General features: G+C 42.0%; 1 protein-coding gene and 1 long non-coding RNA gene across 19 annotated transcripts in view; one reads left to right on the forward strand and one right to left on the reverse strand.

Annotated features, from left to right (window-relative positions):
* The window catches only part of NRP1 (neuropilin 1), a 157,175-nt gene that overhangs the window by 23,147 nt on the left and 115,797 nt on the right, over nt 1-18,231 (reverse strand). For 7 of the 18 annotated variants that reach the window (NM_001330068.2, NM_003873.7, XM_006717522.3 and 4 more), the window contains 3 exons: nt 12,747-13,078; nt 6,933-7,077; nt 2,252-2,356 (listed from right to left, as the gene is read on the reverse strand). In NM_001330068.2, the coding sequence (NP_001316997.2) occupies nt 2,252-2,356; nt 6,933-7,077; nt 12,747-13,078 (582 nt within the window). The remainder of the gene's footprint in view (nt 1-2,251; nt 2,357-6,932; nt 7,078-12,746; nt 13,079-18,231) is intronic. The other 11 variants (NR_045259.2, XM_017016865.3, NM_001244973.2 and 8 more) reach the window with 2 other exon arrangements.
* LOC124902407 (uncharacterized) lies at nt 8,267-13,182 on the forward strand. The gene is made up of 2 exons (XR_007062107.1): nt 8,267-10,851; nt 12,599-13,182. It is a non-coding gene; the product is annotated as an uncharacterized LOC124902407 (long non-coding RNA).

Genomic DNA, 18,231 nt, shown 5'->3' on the forward strand with positions numbered 1-18,231 from the left:
CGTTTGTAGTCCTGACAGCAAAACCTATGCCAGAATTAGCAAAAAGGATGCAAAATTGCTTGTGAGCATAGGAGATGTGTAGTTTCCATATAAAAAGGTGTCTGGGTTAGGTGAGGTTTTTGCCTCTTGCAAACAATGGCATGTGAGCACATCCATTTTCAGAAAAGAATAGCAAATGGTTTTGTAAAGTAAAATATGTTTTAAAAAGAAAAAGACTGCCTTCTTGCAATAATGAATATGAAGCAGGAGAATGTCTTCCAAAATGGCTTCTTCTTGATGGAGGTGTGGGGCAGGCCTTATCAACATCCTCAGCGGTTCTTAGTATATGAGAGTATTTATAGAATTATTGAGACAAACGTGCTGATCTGGGAATAACTCTTTTTTTCACCATGCTAATATGTAAAAAGAAAAAATCAGAATGAACTTTCTTCTATCTACCAAAGAAATAATTGAAACACTGTAGGTAAAGCAAAACCTTATAGTTTTGAAAGGTTGTCAGTGTTTCCACTATAAATGACCCATTTTCTGTGGTTTGTAACTCGCTGCCATACACAATTTGCTCCAGGCTAACATACTCGCCCTATTTCATTCAAAGCCTTCAGTTTCAATTGATTCAGTCATGAACTAATGCAAAAATGAGAAGGCTGGTTGTTCTGATATGAGGAGTAAATCTGAGGCTTTGTTTCTAATCAATATTAACTGACCACTTTAGGGTTTATGAAGAAAAGAACCCCTTCCACAAGAGGGCAATTGAAAGGGCACACTGGGATCCTGCAATCATTCCTTTTTTATGAGAAATTTCACTATGGATGTGTGACGGGGTCTGTAAAAAGCCTGAGGTTTGTGGCAGAGTGTTTACAGGCAACCCCGGGAAGCTTCCAGAGGACTTGGTTCATGGAATAGTACTCTGTTTTTTATATCAGTGGTTGAGTTTTCAACTTGAACTTGACATGTTACACAGAAAATGTCTCTGCATTAATTAATCTAAGTTTTGTGGCTTGTGGCTGCTTGTATACAAGATTTGCATTCAAAAGCTCATAGCAATGTGACATTTATTGGCCATATGAATGTAAATGATTATCCTGGAAATTTGGAGAGAGACAGCTTTAGGAGGTGGGATTTAAATGTAAACTCAGTTCACAGTACTAAATTTCTGGGACAGATTTTCAATTTTTTTTTCTTTCTTTTACTCTTTATTCCATCTTAGAGTGCAGAGCCCTCTCACTCCTTCAGAGGAGAGCTTTTGAAATAATTGGAAATGTACTCTAGGACACTTCCTTCCAGATTTTGTACGAATGCATTAGCCAATAACATGGCTTTATTATGAAGTTACATGGTAACGCCTTCAGTTTTGCCCATGGAAATTAATTATGTGGGCTCTCCGAGTCCCTTCTGGGTAAAAATGCAGACCTGCATTCAAAAGCTCATGTTTAATCTCAAATGAGAGTCAGATGCTATTGAAACTGCGTTTTGACCCAGGGAGCAGTAAAAGTCCCACGATACCTTTTGCAACCACAGGGTGAAAACCCTAGTGCCTTGGCCAATTTCCAAATGGTATAATCCCATTTCTCCACTTGCCTAATATTTCCTCTGCCATTCCAAGTGGAAGAGAAGGTCATTTCCTAGCTTTTAGGGTTTTAGGAGATTAGAGAGTAATACTCTAGATTAATTAGTGAGACATTTGGCACACAACATCTCTGATGCATTTGCTGGTCGGTGGTGATGTGAAATAGCAGCTAATTCTGCCTTTGTAAATGTTAATGTACAATGATTTACCAAATCCCAACTTAAAAGCCGCACTTCAAATATAAGCCTAACTTTATCCATTTGTTGGATAAAGGATCCACTCAAAAAAACTTGTCCTCATTAGAAAATGAAAATAAACATTCTGAAGTGTGTGGTTACGTAGGGGTGGTGCACGTGTTATTGGGGGGGGGTCTGAAAATAATGAAAATAAGGATCGGTTTAGTACATTTAGCCATGGGGAAATTCTTATTCAATTAAGATAATCCTAGCCTTTGGCTCTCGAAATGGCTCAAATTATTGTTACAAATGGTTGTGGCTATTAAGAACAACTCATCTATCCAGATGACATGAGGAAATGAAGATGCACGTGTTCTGGCAAGGCAGCTTCTATTCCTGGGCAGCTCTCTGCCATGCGGAGTTACAAGCACACACACAGGCGTTAGCTGGTCCCAACTAAGACATGAACTGAAATGGTACAGCAATGGGATGAAGATGGTTTCTGCACCTGTGAGCTGGAAGTCATCACCTGTTCCACTGTGGCAGTTGGCCTGGTCGTCATCACATTCATCCACCAAGTTCCCGTTGGGAGTGGTCGGTCCAGCTGTAGGGGCTGAAACAAGATCCAAGGATTATTATCTCACACCTTGGAAATGTATTCTCAAGCCTCTGGCTGTTGGATCTGCTAACGCTTATGCAGAAAACTTTAATCTGCGGTAAGAAGACCAGGGGCATGGTTTGCCTCTCTTTCAGGAGCTAGATATACTTGGATTCTGCAGAATATATAATAGCAGAGGCTGCTTTGTTTTGGTATTTGATTCGTATCTGCCGAGTAGAGTTGTCTGCCTTAGCATTTTATACATTGTTATCTACATAAACATCCTTCTTCTGAAAAGCTCTTGAATTCTCACTGGTTATTTATTCAGGACCCTGGAGTTGAGAACTTTGAAGACAGAGATTTTGCTTGAAACGTTTTCCCTTTCATTTTCAAGGTGTTAGAGCACTCACTTGTCATAAATTCTTTTATATTCTTAGTATTGACTATGTTTGCTAAGTTTATATTATAATTCTTCCCCAAAGGGAGTCAACGTTCACATTTAGTGCAATAGTGTTTTTTTAAAAAAAAACAAAAAAACTAAAAAAACAGTGATTCCATTTCTCTGTAAGTAGCTTCTCAAACTGTGAGCCCTCTCTCCAGGGCAGGTGTGTGAGAGAAGTTGTCTCAGATGTCCCGGGGTCATTTTACATGAACTCTCATAGGACTGCATTCCACTGTTCACAGGTATTCCCATATCTTTGAATTTGCAGTTGAAAGGTATCCAATATTAATCAAAGACTGCTTTTTTTTTTTTTTTTTTTTTTTTTTTTTGAGACGGAGTCTCGCTCTGTCGCCCAGGCCGGACTGCGGACTGCAGTGGCGCAATCTCGGCTCACTGCAAGCTCTGCTTCCCGGGTTCACGCCATTCTCCTGCCTCAGCCTCCCGAGTAGCTGGGACTACAGGCGCCCGCCACCGCGCCCGGCTAATTTTTTGTATTTTTAGTAGAGACGGGGTTTCACCTTGTTAGCCAGGATGGTCTCGATCTCCTGACCTCATGATCCACCCGCCTCGGCCTCCCAACAAAGACTGCTTTTGAAGTCCTTTAAATTTCGTTCAGATATTTTTTTTAGCCTGTTACTCATTTTTGCAATCTGTTTAATATTTTACAGTTTTTGGCATTACGTTTCACTTTACAAGACTTGAGATAATGGATAGTTCTCGTGATGGCTGAGAACCATACAAGATGTTGGTGGCTGGGGCCTGTTCTCTTCTCGCCAGTAGGAATGTGTCAGTAACTGCTGCTTTCTTAGTAAAAATTTGACACTGAATGGTGCTGAAACACCAAGCAGAGTTACGGCACATGGAGAAACAGAGCCAAGTTTCAACTTCTTCAACGGCCCAAAGATACACACCAGTAATAACTAAGAAGTCACCAAGTGCAAATAACATACATGCCACTCAGGCCTGCAATCCAGACTTTTTTACAAAACACATACACCCGAATTCTGGCCTGTATTTATTGCTCTTGCTGAAACAGTAGTATCTCCTCTGGCAAGCCAGATAGTTGTCTTTCTTCCCTAAGCTCTCCTTGCTCCAGATAATGTGCTACCTTTAAGTATTTAAAACTCTATTCATTTTGCTGATTTTTCTGCATTCATCAAGCTGTTTCTAAAGGGGAGTTCCGCATTGTAAATGGCCCGAGGTAGTCCCTAGATTCACTAGATTCAACGGAAAAAAAAAGGAGGAAGCAAATGATATGTATGTTCCAGTTTTACTATTTGAAAATATATTATCTTCTATGGTTCTTTATTTCTTTTTTCTTTTTTTGAGATGGAGTTTCACTCTTGTCACCCAGGCTGGAGTACAATGGCATGATCTCAGCTCACTGCAACCTCCGCCTCCCTGATTCAAGAGATTCTCCTGCCTCAGCCTCACGAGTAGCTGGGATTACAGGCGCCCACCAACACACCCAGCTAATTTTTGTATTTTTAGTAGAGACAGGATTTCACCATGTTGGCCAGGCTGGTCTCAAGCTCCTGAGCTCAAGTGATCTGCCCGCCTTGGCCTCCCAAAGTGCTGGGATTACAGGCATGAGCCACCACACCCGGCCTGTGGTTGTTTATTTCTTAAATGTAAGTGCTAGCACAAAATAGGACAGACACTCCTGGGAGGCTGGAGTGGACTGCATCTTTCTCCTGCATTCCCTTAGGTGTCTCCCCTAGAACAAGGCACACAGTAGATACTTAATAAGGGCCTGTTAACTGATTGAAGGGAGAAGAAAAGCATTCCTTTTCACCAATCATATCAAAAAGCTTTGACATTACTTTCCCCAGATGTTTGTTTCACATACGGCCCAGGGCAATGTCCTCACTTTTGTGAGTGCTTGGAAACATCTGTAGGCAAATCCCTTCACCGATCATTTCTACCTCACTACAGAGATGACACTAGAGAGTGGAAACTCTAACTTCCCAATGAGTCCTCATTGCCTGCTGCCTAGACAAGGCCGATTTATCAAGACAGGGGAATTGCAATAGAGAAAGAGTTTAATTCATGCAGAGACAACTGTATGGGAGATGGGGGTTCTATTATTACTTGGGGTTTAGGTTTTGAAGGGTAATTTGTTGAGCAGGGGTTGAAAAGGGGCAGGTGCTCATTGGTCAGGTCTGAGGTGAAATCACAGGGAGTCAAAGGTGTCCTCTTGTGCTGAGTCAGTTTCTGGTGAGGGACACAAGACAGGATGAGCCAGTTTATCGATCTGGGTGGTGCCAGCTGATCCATCAAGTACAGGGTCTGGAAAATATCTGAAGCACTGATCTCAGGTTTTACAACAGTGACATTATTCCCAGAAGCAATTTGGGGAGGTTCAGAGTCTTGCAGCCTCCAGCTGCATGACCCCTAAACCATAATTTCATTTTTTTCCCCCTAAACCATAATTTCCAATTTTGTGGCTAATTTGTTAGTCTTGCGAAGGCAATCTAGTCCCCAGGCAGGAAGGGGGTTTGTTTTGGGAAAGAGCTGTCATTGTCTTTGTTTCAAAGTTAAACTATAAGTTCCTCCTAAAGTTAGTTTGGCCTATGCCCAGGAATGAACAAGGACAGCTTGGAGGTTAGAAGCAAGATGGAGTCAGTTAGGTCAGATCTCTTTCACTGTCATCATGTTCTCATTACAATTTTTGCAAGCGTGCTTTCAAAACTGCCACCAGGCTGTCTTTTCAATTCTCCATTCACTCCACCTCCTAAATCAGCATCGCCTTCCAGAATCCAGGCTACAGATTCGCATCCAGGGAGCAGACTCCTTTTCCAGATGACCACATTTCTCCGTGAATTGAACGAACGCATCTGCAGTGAGTGGAGTCTGCCCATCTCTTCTTTTTCTTGGCATCCTTTGCCAAAGCCCTGGCACATGGACATTCTTGGTCTGTGTTGATAGTGCCTGGATAATTTAGGGGTTTGGGACATGACTACAGATATGGAAACAACCACACGGTGAAGAATAGGAGAAAATGGCCTGCTTTTAAATAAACACATTGAAAAGTAGCTATGAATTATTCAGGGGTATGGTGATTGATAGCTCAAGATTCTGTCATTCATAAGAAAAGTTTTATGGTATTTAATGTGCTCAGGAATGTAATTATATTTGGTAGCTCAAGACACAAATAATTTTAAAATTGCAGGAAGGTGACATTAAAAAGCATTCTTCAAAACAACTGTGAGCATATATGCTCGGTTGATTAACATCTGGATGCCTACAATAGTCATTCTTGAAGCTAGGCTGGAGCAAGACCTCTATGGGGATAGAAAAACTGGTGTAGGTTACTCAGTTATGCCCAAATCTAAGGCAGATGGGGATTCTAGTGCATAAATATATTAAACGGTACAATAACCCACTCAAAACATTCATTTCATTCATCATATGTTCAAAGAGAGTGCAGCCATGGGGTCAGTGCGTGGACTGAATTTGTACTTGATATGACCGTCATATAATAATCTAAGTGTAGGCAGTAATGTCAGTCTACTTTCAGACACGTTGTCTCATGTAAAGTTCTGTTTCTCTGCAGCAGCCTAAGATATTCATCCAGAATAATGTCTTGATGTCTTAGTCTGTCAAACGCTGCTTTCTGTTTCTATGTGCTGATAATCGACACTGCGGACCGAAACTGGATCAGACACAGACCTCTAAATAATATTTAAAAGGCAAAAGTGGTTGCCAGGGGTTGAGGGAAGTTGCCTGCTTTCTGGGTAAGGGGTTTTACTTTGGAGTGATGGAAATATTTTGGAACTAGAAAGAGGGTAGTTGGTACAACTGAATTGTAAATGTGCTAACTGCCACTGAGTTGTTCCCCTTCAAGAGGTGAAATTTATGTTCTATGAATTTCAACTCTATAAATTATCTTTTTTTTTAAGTAAAGAGAGACAATCTCATATAATCCGAGGAGAGTCATGCAAACAACCCAAGACAAAAGTAGGACTGTGAAGGTGCTGCCTTGTGACCTGTGTCAGAGCTTTGAGTCTCACTGATGGGCAGGCACCGAGATAAGGGGCCTCCCAAGGGAAAAGGGTAGGCAATTTGCAAAGGCACCATCAGGGGCATAAATGCATGGAAGAGGAAATTTAAAAACGCATGAGAAGTAACTCTGGAGATCATAATTACCTTCCACTTCACAGCCCAGCAGCTCCATTCTGAGCCCCAGTCCGCCATGAGTGGCTCTCTCGGGGTAGATCCTGATGAATCGCGTGGAGAGAGCTGGAAAAGTCCGCAGCTCAGGTGTATCATAGTTGTTGTTGCCCTCAAAAGACTGTGAAGCATGGAAAACACAGGGCATTAAGGAAAAAAAAAAACAGAGCTCCCTTTTAGCAACTGTTTCTTCCCTCCTTCAGGACTCTGAATAAGGCAGAGAAATTGGCTTCATTCTACCACTTTGTGGTACATCTCTTTCATAAACGAGAAAGGAAAAAAACAATTAAAGCTTCTCTAAGAAGTGACAGATGGCATTTATTTATTTATTCATTATTATTATTTTTTGAGATGGGGTCTCACTCTGTCGCCCAGGGTGGAGTGCAATGATGTGATTGCACCTCACTTCAGTCTTACCCTCCCTGGGCTCAGTGATCCTCCCACCTCAGCCTCCTGAGTAGCTTGGACTACAGGCACCCGCCACCATGCCTAGCTAACTTTTGTATTTTTTGCAGAGTTGGGGTTTCACCATGTTGCCCAGGCTTGTCTCGAACTTAGGGTCTCAAGTGATCTGCTTGCCTCTGCCTCCCAAAGTGCTGGGATTACAGGCATGCGCCACCACGCCGAGCTAATTTTTTGTGGAGACAGGGTCTCATGATGTTGCCCAGGCTGGTCTCAAGCACCTGGCTGCAAATGATCCTCCTGCATTGGCCTCTCCAAGTGCTGGGATTACAGGTGTGAGCCACTGCACCTGGCATGAGTTGGCACCTCTTTTGAAGTGTGTTCCTAGCTTGAAGTCCCTGTGACAGTTTTCAGGAGCTTGGCCACCCACTGCCAGTGCTGCTGCTGGCTTTGTTTCCTTTTCACATGCACGGGAAGATCAAAATCCTTGGTGGAATTCTGAGAAGATGGAGCAATGACTAGGCCAGTTTTCCTTTTCAAGAAATGGATGAGCCTCCTTATATCCTCTTCTCCAGCATCATTCTTAATCCCATTCCAAATGGGAGAAGGCGGAGGGGGAGGAGGAAAAGAAAATTGTCTCATCATAAGGAATGTCCTTTTAAATATCAAACATTGCATGATGTTTGATAGAGTAAGGCATTGTTCTAACTGCTTAAAATCTATTAACTCATTTAATCCTCAGAACAACTCATTTTGTCATCTTCCTATGATATTGAAAAACCATAAAAGTTCCTCAATTGTTTATATAGAACCTAATCTATGATTCCTAACACACCTTTCCACTGAAAAAAATCTCTAAGGTGAAAAAGAAAACTGATAAAATGGTCCATTTTAGAGCAGCCTTTTTTTTTTTTTTTTTTTTTTTTTGAGACAGAGCCTTGCTCTGTCACCCAGGCTGGAGTGCAGTGGCATGATCTTGACTCACTGCAACCTGTGCCTCTTGGGCTCAAGTGATTCTCCTGTCTCAGCCTCCTGAGTAGCTGGGATTGCAGGTGCACACCAATATGTCCGGCTAATTTTTGTATTTTTAGTAGAGATGGGGTTTCACCACGTTGGCCAGGCTGGTCTTGAACTCCTGACCTCAAGTGATCTGCCTGCCTTGGCCTCCCAAAGTGCTGGGATTATAGGCGTGAACCCCCATGCCTGGCCACATATTTTTTAACTATTCAGAGATTTTAAAAACATGTTACATTTAATTTTACAAATGAAGGTAAATTCTCCATGAGGTAAATTCTGTATTATGGTCCTTTTACAGACAAGGAAACTGAGGCACAGAGTAGTCAAATCACTTGCCCCATGGCCATACACACAGCAAGTGGCAGGGCCAAGACTCAAACCTAGCTGGCCTTAACTGGCGCCCTTAACCACACCACGATGCTGCCTCTGCCCTTACAAACCATCTAGTCCAGTCTCCTCATTTATTTATTTATTTTTTTAGAGATGGAGTCTTGCTCTGTCACCAAGGCTGGAGTGCAGTGGTGCGATCTCAGCTCACTGCAACCTCCACCTCCTAGGTTCAAGCGATTCTCTTGCCTCAGCCTCCAGACTAGCTGGGCCTGCAGGTGCCCACCAACATGCCTGGCTGATTTTTGCATTTTCAGTAGAAACGGGGTTTCACCATGTTGGCCAGGCTGGTCTCAAACTCCTGACCTCAGGTGATATGCCCGCCTTGGCCTCCTGAAGTGCTGGGATTATAGGCGTGAGCCTTCGAGACAGCCCAGTCTCCTGATTTTAATAGGTGAAAACACCACGGTCCAAGAAACATCTATGCCCAAGGCCACACATTTAGTTTCATTAATTTGTCTTTAATATGATGCAAATTGGGCTAGTAGACCTGGTAGATCAGATGGAGTGGCTGGCCGGCCCCAGGCCATGCCAGTCAGGAGTGGGAGCCATGCCCAGTAGCTGTGTCAAGACATCATAAACCAGCCTAATATGTGCTTGTTCGGTGGTGGAAATGTCAAAACAAAACAGTGGAAGCATGTCAGTGAAGACAGATTGGGTAGGTTGCAACAGAATCAGCAGGTTTCTGAGTTCTAGAAGTAAATTAATTGGCCTTTTCCAACTCAGAAAAGCCTCTAGGAGTTTAAAAATGCATTGCTAATATAGGCCTGCCTCTTCCAATTAAAATTTCTTTTTTTTTTTTTATCAAGAGTAAATTCACTATCGGGGTTCTGCACTTTTATAGAACTGCAATTGCTGCCAGTAATTGAGACTCTGACACATATTATTGTGAGGCCCAATTAAGTTATTGTCAGTAGGATACTAATTATAATGAAAATACCATTACTACATATGCAAGTTCTGTCTATGTTAACATACCTCCAAAGATCATAGGAGAAAAGCATTTATATCTATGGAATCCCAGGCTCATCTCTTCATTTTAACTTGAGCAAAGAATTAACACAATGTAAATACATTATAAAAGCTGTCAGTGCAGAGCTGGGAAGAATATTAGCAATGAAAACCCATATGGAACTAGGCTAACTGATATAATAAACTTACTTATGAATTCTTTGTGTTCTGTTGCTAATTATGTTTTAGAAGATGAGGACTTTGAGTGTTTCGACCTTCTCTCTGTTGCTAAAAAGTCTAGTTAATTCAAAGATTCTGATATAGCTTGCCCATTACCCACTATTTTTGGGGTAGAGAGTGAGGAAAGGGCATTGAAAATTTAAATCCATCCAAGTGCTGTGGATTTCACAAAACAGAGTGCTCATTTTACTTTTACATAAAAGGTACTTGGCATCTTAAGAGGTAGCCTTCACTTGTAAAATTAAATATAGCATGTTTTTAAAATCTTGATATGATTAAAAACCATGTGCCGCTCTAAAATGGAAGATTTTTACCCATTTCTTTTTTCGTCTTAGAGATTTTATTTCAGTGGAAGGGTGTGTTAAGGAATCATAGATTAGGCTGTATGTAAACAACGAAGAAGCTTTTACAGTTTTCAGTATCATAGGAAGATGATAATGATGGATAGAACCATATTTTAGAAATAAACCCTAACACGTTCATCCAATCTTGAATTGAGTATTTTGTGAAAGTTGAAAGATGTATATTGGCTTCTCATGGAATTCAGTGCTGGATTTACTACAGAAGAGTGATAGCTTTAGATCTGGTTGCAGACGCATGAATTATATAGAGACGGGGAAGCATGTGATGCATCCTATCAAAAGCATATGGTGACTTGTTTTCTTTCTCTCTCAGAGCCCTAGTGTTGAAGAACATGTCACACCAGCACACGCCGCCGTCGCCAGCAGCAGGAAGTTGTTGATTTGCAGCATATTCACACTTTCTGATGCAGTCAGAGCTCACTGCTTCTCAGAACAGATCCACTCAGAAGGAACTCCAGTTTCTGATGTTTATTTTACTTTTTCTTCCCCCCAAACAAGGCACAAAAGGGGAAAATGAAAGGGACACAAGAAAAAAGGTAGCTGCACAGAGAGATAAATATAACACTGAAAATATTTTAGAAACCACAAGTTAAGGAAGGGAGAGATGGGAGAGAGATTCAGATATTTCTGATGGCACCCAGCCCTGCCAGTGGCCCGCTGCTCTAGTGGTAGCCGGTGGCCTGTCGGGGACACGGAGGTTTCCTTGGAGCCTTCACATCTGGAGGGAGTGGGAGCTGGCAGCACAGCCTGGCTTCTTTGCTGCCTGCAATGCCTCTGGCTTGAGTCACTATATTAAGCCATGTTCCCACACTTGCTTAGAGTGGGAGTGAGGGTAATATTCCCTTCAATAAGCTAAAATCTGTTTTTCACAAGAGGAGTAGGTCCTGGCCAAAGCAGGGATGGAAAGGCTAAGACCAAAAGGCCAATTGTATTGGTGTGAGAAATACCATCGCTGAATATAATTCCCACACTGAACACAGAACTTAAACTGCTAGTTGTCTGTAGGTTGGTCCATATTTGAATCCTAAACCAGCTTCTGGGCCACCCAGCACACTCCAGGGTATCCTTTCCAAGTTGCTGTTGCATGTTCGCAAATAAATTTAGCCATCACTCTAAGTAAAACATAATGACTGAGGTTGATTTGTTGGTTGAAAAAAATTATACCACGGGTTTTGGTGGATGTTGGAATGGAATGTTTTTGTGTTGAGATTTCCTTTTCTTTTCACTGGATTATCAAGAGCCTACTGCATCTTAAAAGGTTTCAACGCATAAAGAAATATACTTAAGCATTATTCACAATAGCTAAAGGTGACAGCAATTCAAGTGTCCATCAGTGGCTGAATGGATAAACAAAGTGTGGTATAAACACACAATGAATATTATCCAGCCTTTCGAAGGATGGAAATTCTGACACAATGCTATAACACTGATGGCCCTTGAAAACATTATCCTAAGTGACATAAGCCAATCACAAAAAGACAAATACAGTATGAGGTCCCTAAAATGGTTGAATTCACACAGACAGAAAGTGGAGGTGGTCACCAGAGGCTGGGGGCAGGGGGACTGGGAGTTGTTGCTTAATGGGTGTAGAGTTTCAGTTTTGCAAGATGAGAAAGTTCTAGAGATTGGTTGCACAATATACACATACTTAACACTGTTGAACTGCACACTAAAAAGGTTAAGATGGGAAATTGTATATTATATGTATTTTATCACAATTAATTTTTTTTTTTTGAGACGGAATCTCACTCTGTCACCCAGGCTAGAGAGCAGTGGTGCAATCTCAGCTCACTGCAACCTCTGCCTCCCGGGTTTAAGCAATTCTCCTGCTTCAGCCTCCAGAATAGCTAGGACTACAGGCACACGCTGCCACACCCTGTTAATTTTTTGTATTTTAGTAGAGATGGGGTTTCACCGTGCTGTCCAGTCTGGTCTCGAACTCCTGAGCTCAGACAATCCGCCCGACTCGGCATCCCAAAGTGCTGGGATTACAGGCATGAGCCACTGAGCCTGGCCCACAATAAAAATTTATAAAAGAAACAAAGCACTTAAACTAGGGGTAGGTTTGAGATGGGGGGAGGGCAGACCCAAACGACTGAGTGGTATCTGCAAGGGGTTCTGAGCGCTGGCTGGATGGCTGCTGTCAGCCTTGGGCTTCCCCGTCTCCTGTCTGCATGTTGAGCTGTCTGTCCATCCCTACAGCCAGGGAATGGGACCAGCAATGCAATTCTTTTGCATGTTATCTCAGACATCACTTTTCATGCCATATTCCTGTCTTCCTAGAATCAAGGGTCTTACTGACCCCATCACACACCTCCTCTAATGTCATGGCTGGAAGGAAATAAGAAGCCCTTCCTCGGGAGAATGCCAGAGGCCCTTGATTGAAGTCAAGGACATAAGGGATGACCTCCTCCCAGTCCCCAGCCCTCACCTTCGCCTTGCGTTTGCTGTCATCCATGATCATCTTCCAGTCCGAGCCGTTGTTGCTGTACCCGATCTTGAACTTCCTCATGAACACCTTGTTCTCTCGGTGCTTCCCACCCTGAATGATGATGCCCCTCACGATCTTCTCCTCCCCCAGGTCTATTTGGAGCCACTCATTGATGTAGGAATGAGGTGCGGGTGGAAGTGCCCAGCCAGAGCGACTGGTTACCAGGCGGATGTTTTCAGGCATCCAGTTTCTGTCCCCTTGGTTGGATGATGTGATCTGGGAGTCAGAAATAAGTCCAGACACCATACCCAACATTCCAGAGCAAGGATAATCTGGGAAGTGAAATGAAACAGATAATGTAAAATGATTTCCTGGGCGACTCCATGCTAAGAAATAAAATACAACATATGGAATAAAGACATGATTTTGTACCCAATCATATACAATTTTCAGTCTCTGGATTATTTTACAGTAAATCTTTCCTCCCTCAAACCTTCCTCCTGCTCTGTCAGAATTCCCGTCTCTAAACTCACATCCCAGTAAGGCAAATCTTCAATAAGAACATACATTTCCCCCGCTTTGACATCTTCTAAGTTTAACATTCATATTTCAGTCTCTTTGGTATCCAGAATTCATCCCTGGATCAAGTACTGGCCCTGCTTAAGAGAAGTTCATAGTTTATGATGGATTGGAGATATGCATAGAAGTCAATCCGATAGCAGGAAGGTTGCTAAAACAAAGGTAAAGAGACAGTGATGCAGAGGTAAAGAGAACGAATGCATACTCAGCCTGCAGAGGTAATAGAGGACCTCCCAGGGGAGGTGGCATTTGAATTGAGTGTGGGAGAATAGTGACCATGATCCCCCACAACTGTTCTCCCCACCCCTATTTCTAATTGCATTGGGGACTTTCCACATGAATGTCTCACTGTCATCTCAAATGTACCACAAGCAGACTAAGACAGTCCTTTCCCCTGGATACTGCATCTTTTCACTGAACCCTGTCTTTTAATTGGTGGCATCACCAATCATCCACTTCCTGCCTAGTCATCTCGTCATTTCCGTTTTGCTGCCAAATCCTGTTGTTTTTATTAAGTACAAGAAAGCAACAGAACTCTTGTTGCTACCTTCCTTTCTTCTGGATTTATCCTGATCCGAGCGCTCTGGCCAGGGTGCTACATCAGCTCTTGGTTGGCCTCCCAGACCCCACTTTGAATCTCCACTACACCAACTGCTACTTAAATTTTCAGAAAATGTTGTTTTAAGCATGTCATTCTCATCCTCAAAAATCTCCACTGCTAAGTGAAAGAAGCCCAACAAAAAAAGGACAAATATGGTCTGATTCCATGGATAGGAGTAGCCTATCACTAGATCAGTCAGATTCGTAGAGACAGAAAGCAAAATGGTGGTTGCCAGGGCTTGGGGGAAATGGAGATTGGGAGAGTTAGTGTTTCATGGGTGCAGAGTTTCAGTCTGAGACAATTATAAAATTCTGGAAATAGTGGTGATGCTTGCACAGCAATGTGACTGTACTTAATGCGACAGAATTGTACACTTAAAAATGTACAATGATAAAATTAAAATGGTTAAAAGTGGTTGAAAATTGTTAAAGCGGTAAATTTTATGTTATGTATATTTTACCCCGACAATAGAAAAGAGATATCTTTTGAAAATGTACCATGGTTTTCCATTATTGATAGGAAGATATCAAAACTCGATCTGGCATTCAAGACCCTCATTTTGACTTCATCCCATTTGCCTAATTTGATTTTCTATTACTGACAATACATCTCAGTTAAGCAATTCTCTTCTCATACAGTCTAGACGTCATCCTCATCATTGCCTTTGCTCAAAACCCAGCTTAAGACTCATGAAGAGAACTTTTCAAGCTACTCTAGCTTTTATTCTGAGCTCTCCCTTCTCAGAAATATGATGTAAGTAGCACAGAGCTCAGCATTCCACTGCTCTCTAAGGCTTTAAGATTGTTAGTCATGTACCCACAGCTAGATTATAAGATCTTCAAAGGCAATGAACAGCATCATAGACCTTTTTATGTCTTCTAAAGCAGCCCAAGGAGCTTCTGAGCACAAGGAGAGTATCAGTTGTTGATGAATTCAACGCTGGCTTAATGACAAAATGTCCAACACTTCAAGTATTTTCCTTTAGAAACTGTACATCCTAATCAAGAACATGTGCAAGAATGATAACCTATTTTTCTTTGAAGCAACTCAATTCTGCGTTATATAATAAAAATTTAGCCTAAAAATATAACTACCCCTAAGTGAGAGGCAAACATCTAATGCAATTAAACTAAGTCCACATTATCAGCTGAACCTTAAGAATTCATTACTCAGATACTTTCCACATGAGTTCTATGGTCCAGATCATGTCGTTTCTTTACTCAGACATTCAGTGCCTTCTTGTCTAGAAATTACGCACGTCATTTTCAGTCAGGCATGCAGGCCTTCCATGTCATGTCCTTGCAAGGCCTCTCCCCATTCACTCCTTTAACCAGTGCCAATTGGCATGAAGAACTTCCTTACTTCTGGGAGTTTGGGAGCTTTCTTTCTGTTCCCTCCACAAGGAATTCCCTGTCATGTTACCCTTTTCCATTATCTGAACTGCTTAAAATCCTGACCTGTTTTCAAATGCCACATCGTTTACTCAGTTTTTCTGTTCTCTGCAACTGGACACAGTTTTCCATTTCTGGGCCTCTTCACACCATTTTATCTGCATTTCCCTTCTTTCTTTCTTTCTTTTTTTTTTTTTTTGAGAAGGAGTCTCGCTCTGTCTCCCAGGCTGGAGTGCAGTGGGGCGATCTTGGCTCACTGCAAGCTCCACCTCCCGGGTTCACGCCATTCTCCTGCCTCAGCCTCCCGAGTAGCTAGGACTCCAGGCGCCTGCCACCACGCCCGGCTTATTTTTTGTATTTTTAGTAGAGAGGGGTTTCACAGTGTTAGCCAGGATGGTCTCGATCTCCTGACCTCGTGATGCCTGCCTCGGCCTCCCAAAGTGCTGGGATTACAGGTGTGAGCCACGGCGCCTGGCCCCTCTACACCCCGGCCTTTTTTTTAATTTTTATTTTTAGAGACAGGGTCTCACTCTGTCACCCAGGCTGGAGTGGAGTGGTGTGATCATGGCTCACTGCAGCCTTGAACTCTTGGCCTCAAGCAATCCTCCCACCTCAGTCTCCTGAGTAGCTAGGACTACATGTGGATGCTACCATGATTGGCAATTTTTTTTTTTTTGGTCTCGCTATGTTGCCCAGGCTGCTCTCAAACTACTGGGGTCAAGAGATCTTACCATTTTGGCCTCCCAAAGTGCTGGGGTCACAGGCTTGAGCCACCATATCCAGCCCTCAAATGCTGATGAGCACATTTAGTTCTTTGGAATGCTGCTTTCTGCCTCCCCAGATTTTAACTTCTTTGAGGACACGAACTAAGTCATATTTTTCTGTTTTATATGACTCTTCATGCCCTGTTTTATACATAGTATTTGCTCAACAAATATTTGTTGAATGAATCAACTTAATACAATGAAAGGCAGCTGTCATTTTCTCAATTGCCCTTTCCTGTAACTTAACCACAGTATTTGCTCCAGGCTGGGATCTGGAAACCAAGAATATACTCAGTCGGGATTAAAAAAAGATTTACAAAAACAATTTTACTAAGGGACTATGAAACTGTAGTGTTAAAAATAGAGTGCCATTTTTTGGCCACGGTGTTCATACCTGCCTGATTCCAAACAAGCTTTTAGAAAGGCAATGTTTAGCTGGTAATGGGGACCAGATGTTACCATTTGGAGGCAAACATAATTAACTTGAATACTGTAAGGAGAGCAGAACCGTCACCAGATTAATGCCCTTTCTCTAATGCAGACTCGGCTGGGGCACAGTTTCTGTATTCATAGACTTAGTGATGCCCTGTCCCCATTTAGCCAACATATCCATGGTGCAAAGTGAGACTGTTATTCCTTCCATATAGCTGCCTCATTAAAAAAAAAAAAATGAAGAGGCAACTTGATTTACCTTTGACTGAAAACTATGTGACTCACTTTTAACAATAATTTGCAGAAAAATTACATTAACAATTAATTCAAGGTTTGAATGAGATGCTAGCGTTTAACTCTGTCCCTTCATAGCAGGCTGGTACAGGTCAGCCCGGTGCAGGTCAAACCCTTTGGAAATAGTGTTGCCAGATTTAGCAAATAAACAACAAAACAAGAAACAAGATGCCCAGTGAAATTAGAATTCAGAGAAATAATGAATAATTTTTTAGTACACATATGTCTCAAATATTGCATGGGACATACTTATTCTGAAAAATTATGTCTTGTTTGTCTGCGTCAAATTTAACTGGACATTTTGTATTTCACTTGGCAGCCTTGTTTGGAAAGCTTAAGACCACTTCAGGATGGAAGGGAGAAATGAGTTTTGTAATGGAGGATTGAGGTCGTTATTTTCAGTGATATTATTTTACAGTAAATCTCTGTACTCAGCTTTAATGGAAAAACTGAGGTATACTGGTAAATCAAATATCCAGTTAACCAATTTCCAACGAATGAGAAAGTAATAACTGCATTCGATGGGAGACCCTGAATGAGCATAATTTAATCTCTCCTTGATGACTCAGAAAGTACCTCTGGATATTATGGTGTCTGAGATCATCACTGTGAATTCTGATTGACTTAGGAGCACATGAATATGTGTTGAAGCGCTGGGTAACAGACTTCTGGTTAATAACAGAAGATAGCAGAGTTCAGAGTGTGTTAAGCAGCCATTGCCCAACGTGATTTCCATCTCTGCCAAAATGATGAAGCCTACTTTGTCAAAATAATGAAAATGCCCTTCATCAATCACCTATAAAGCAGAATGGTTTGTTCCAATCTTATTTTCTTTATATCTCTATATGGTGACAAACTCTGAATTTTCCAGGATTACTATATTTCTTTTTTCTTTCTTTTTTTTTTTTTTGAGATGGAATCTTGCTCTGTTGCCCAGGCTGGAGTGCAGTGGCCAGTGGCACAATCTCGGCTCACTGCAAGCTCTGCCTCCTGGGTTCACGCCATTCTCCTGCCTCAGCCTTCTGAGTAGCTGGGACTACAAGTGCATGCCACCACACCTGGGTAATTTTTTGTATTTTTAGTAGAGATGGGGTTTCACTGTGTTAGCCAGGATGGTCTCAATCTCCTGACCTCGTGATCCACCTGCCTCGGCCTCCCAAAGTGCTGGGATTACAGGAGTGAGCCACTGCGCCCAGTCCAGGATTACTATATTTCTAAAAAATAATTTCTGAATCAAAAAATTAGGGTAAAACTTGGGGCTTTAGTGGCTTTGGAAGCCAAGTGATGTGTTCAAGCAGTAACCTTTCATTAGGTAGGCTTAAACAAAATCCAGATTGAATTGTGACTACTCAGCAGGGTGAAAATTTGAGGTCCAGCCGCTTGTTTCTCAGAAGGCGTGCATAAAACTGCACTTCCTTCATTCA

Source organism: Homo sapiens, chromosome 10, assembly GCF_000001405.40.
Source record: "Homo sapiens chromosome 10, GRCh38.p14 Primary Assembly".
NCBI lineage: Eukaryota > Metazoa > Chordata > Mammalia > Primates > Hominidae > Homo > Homo sapiens.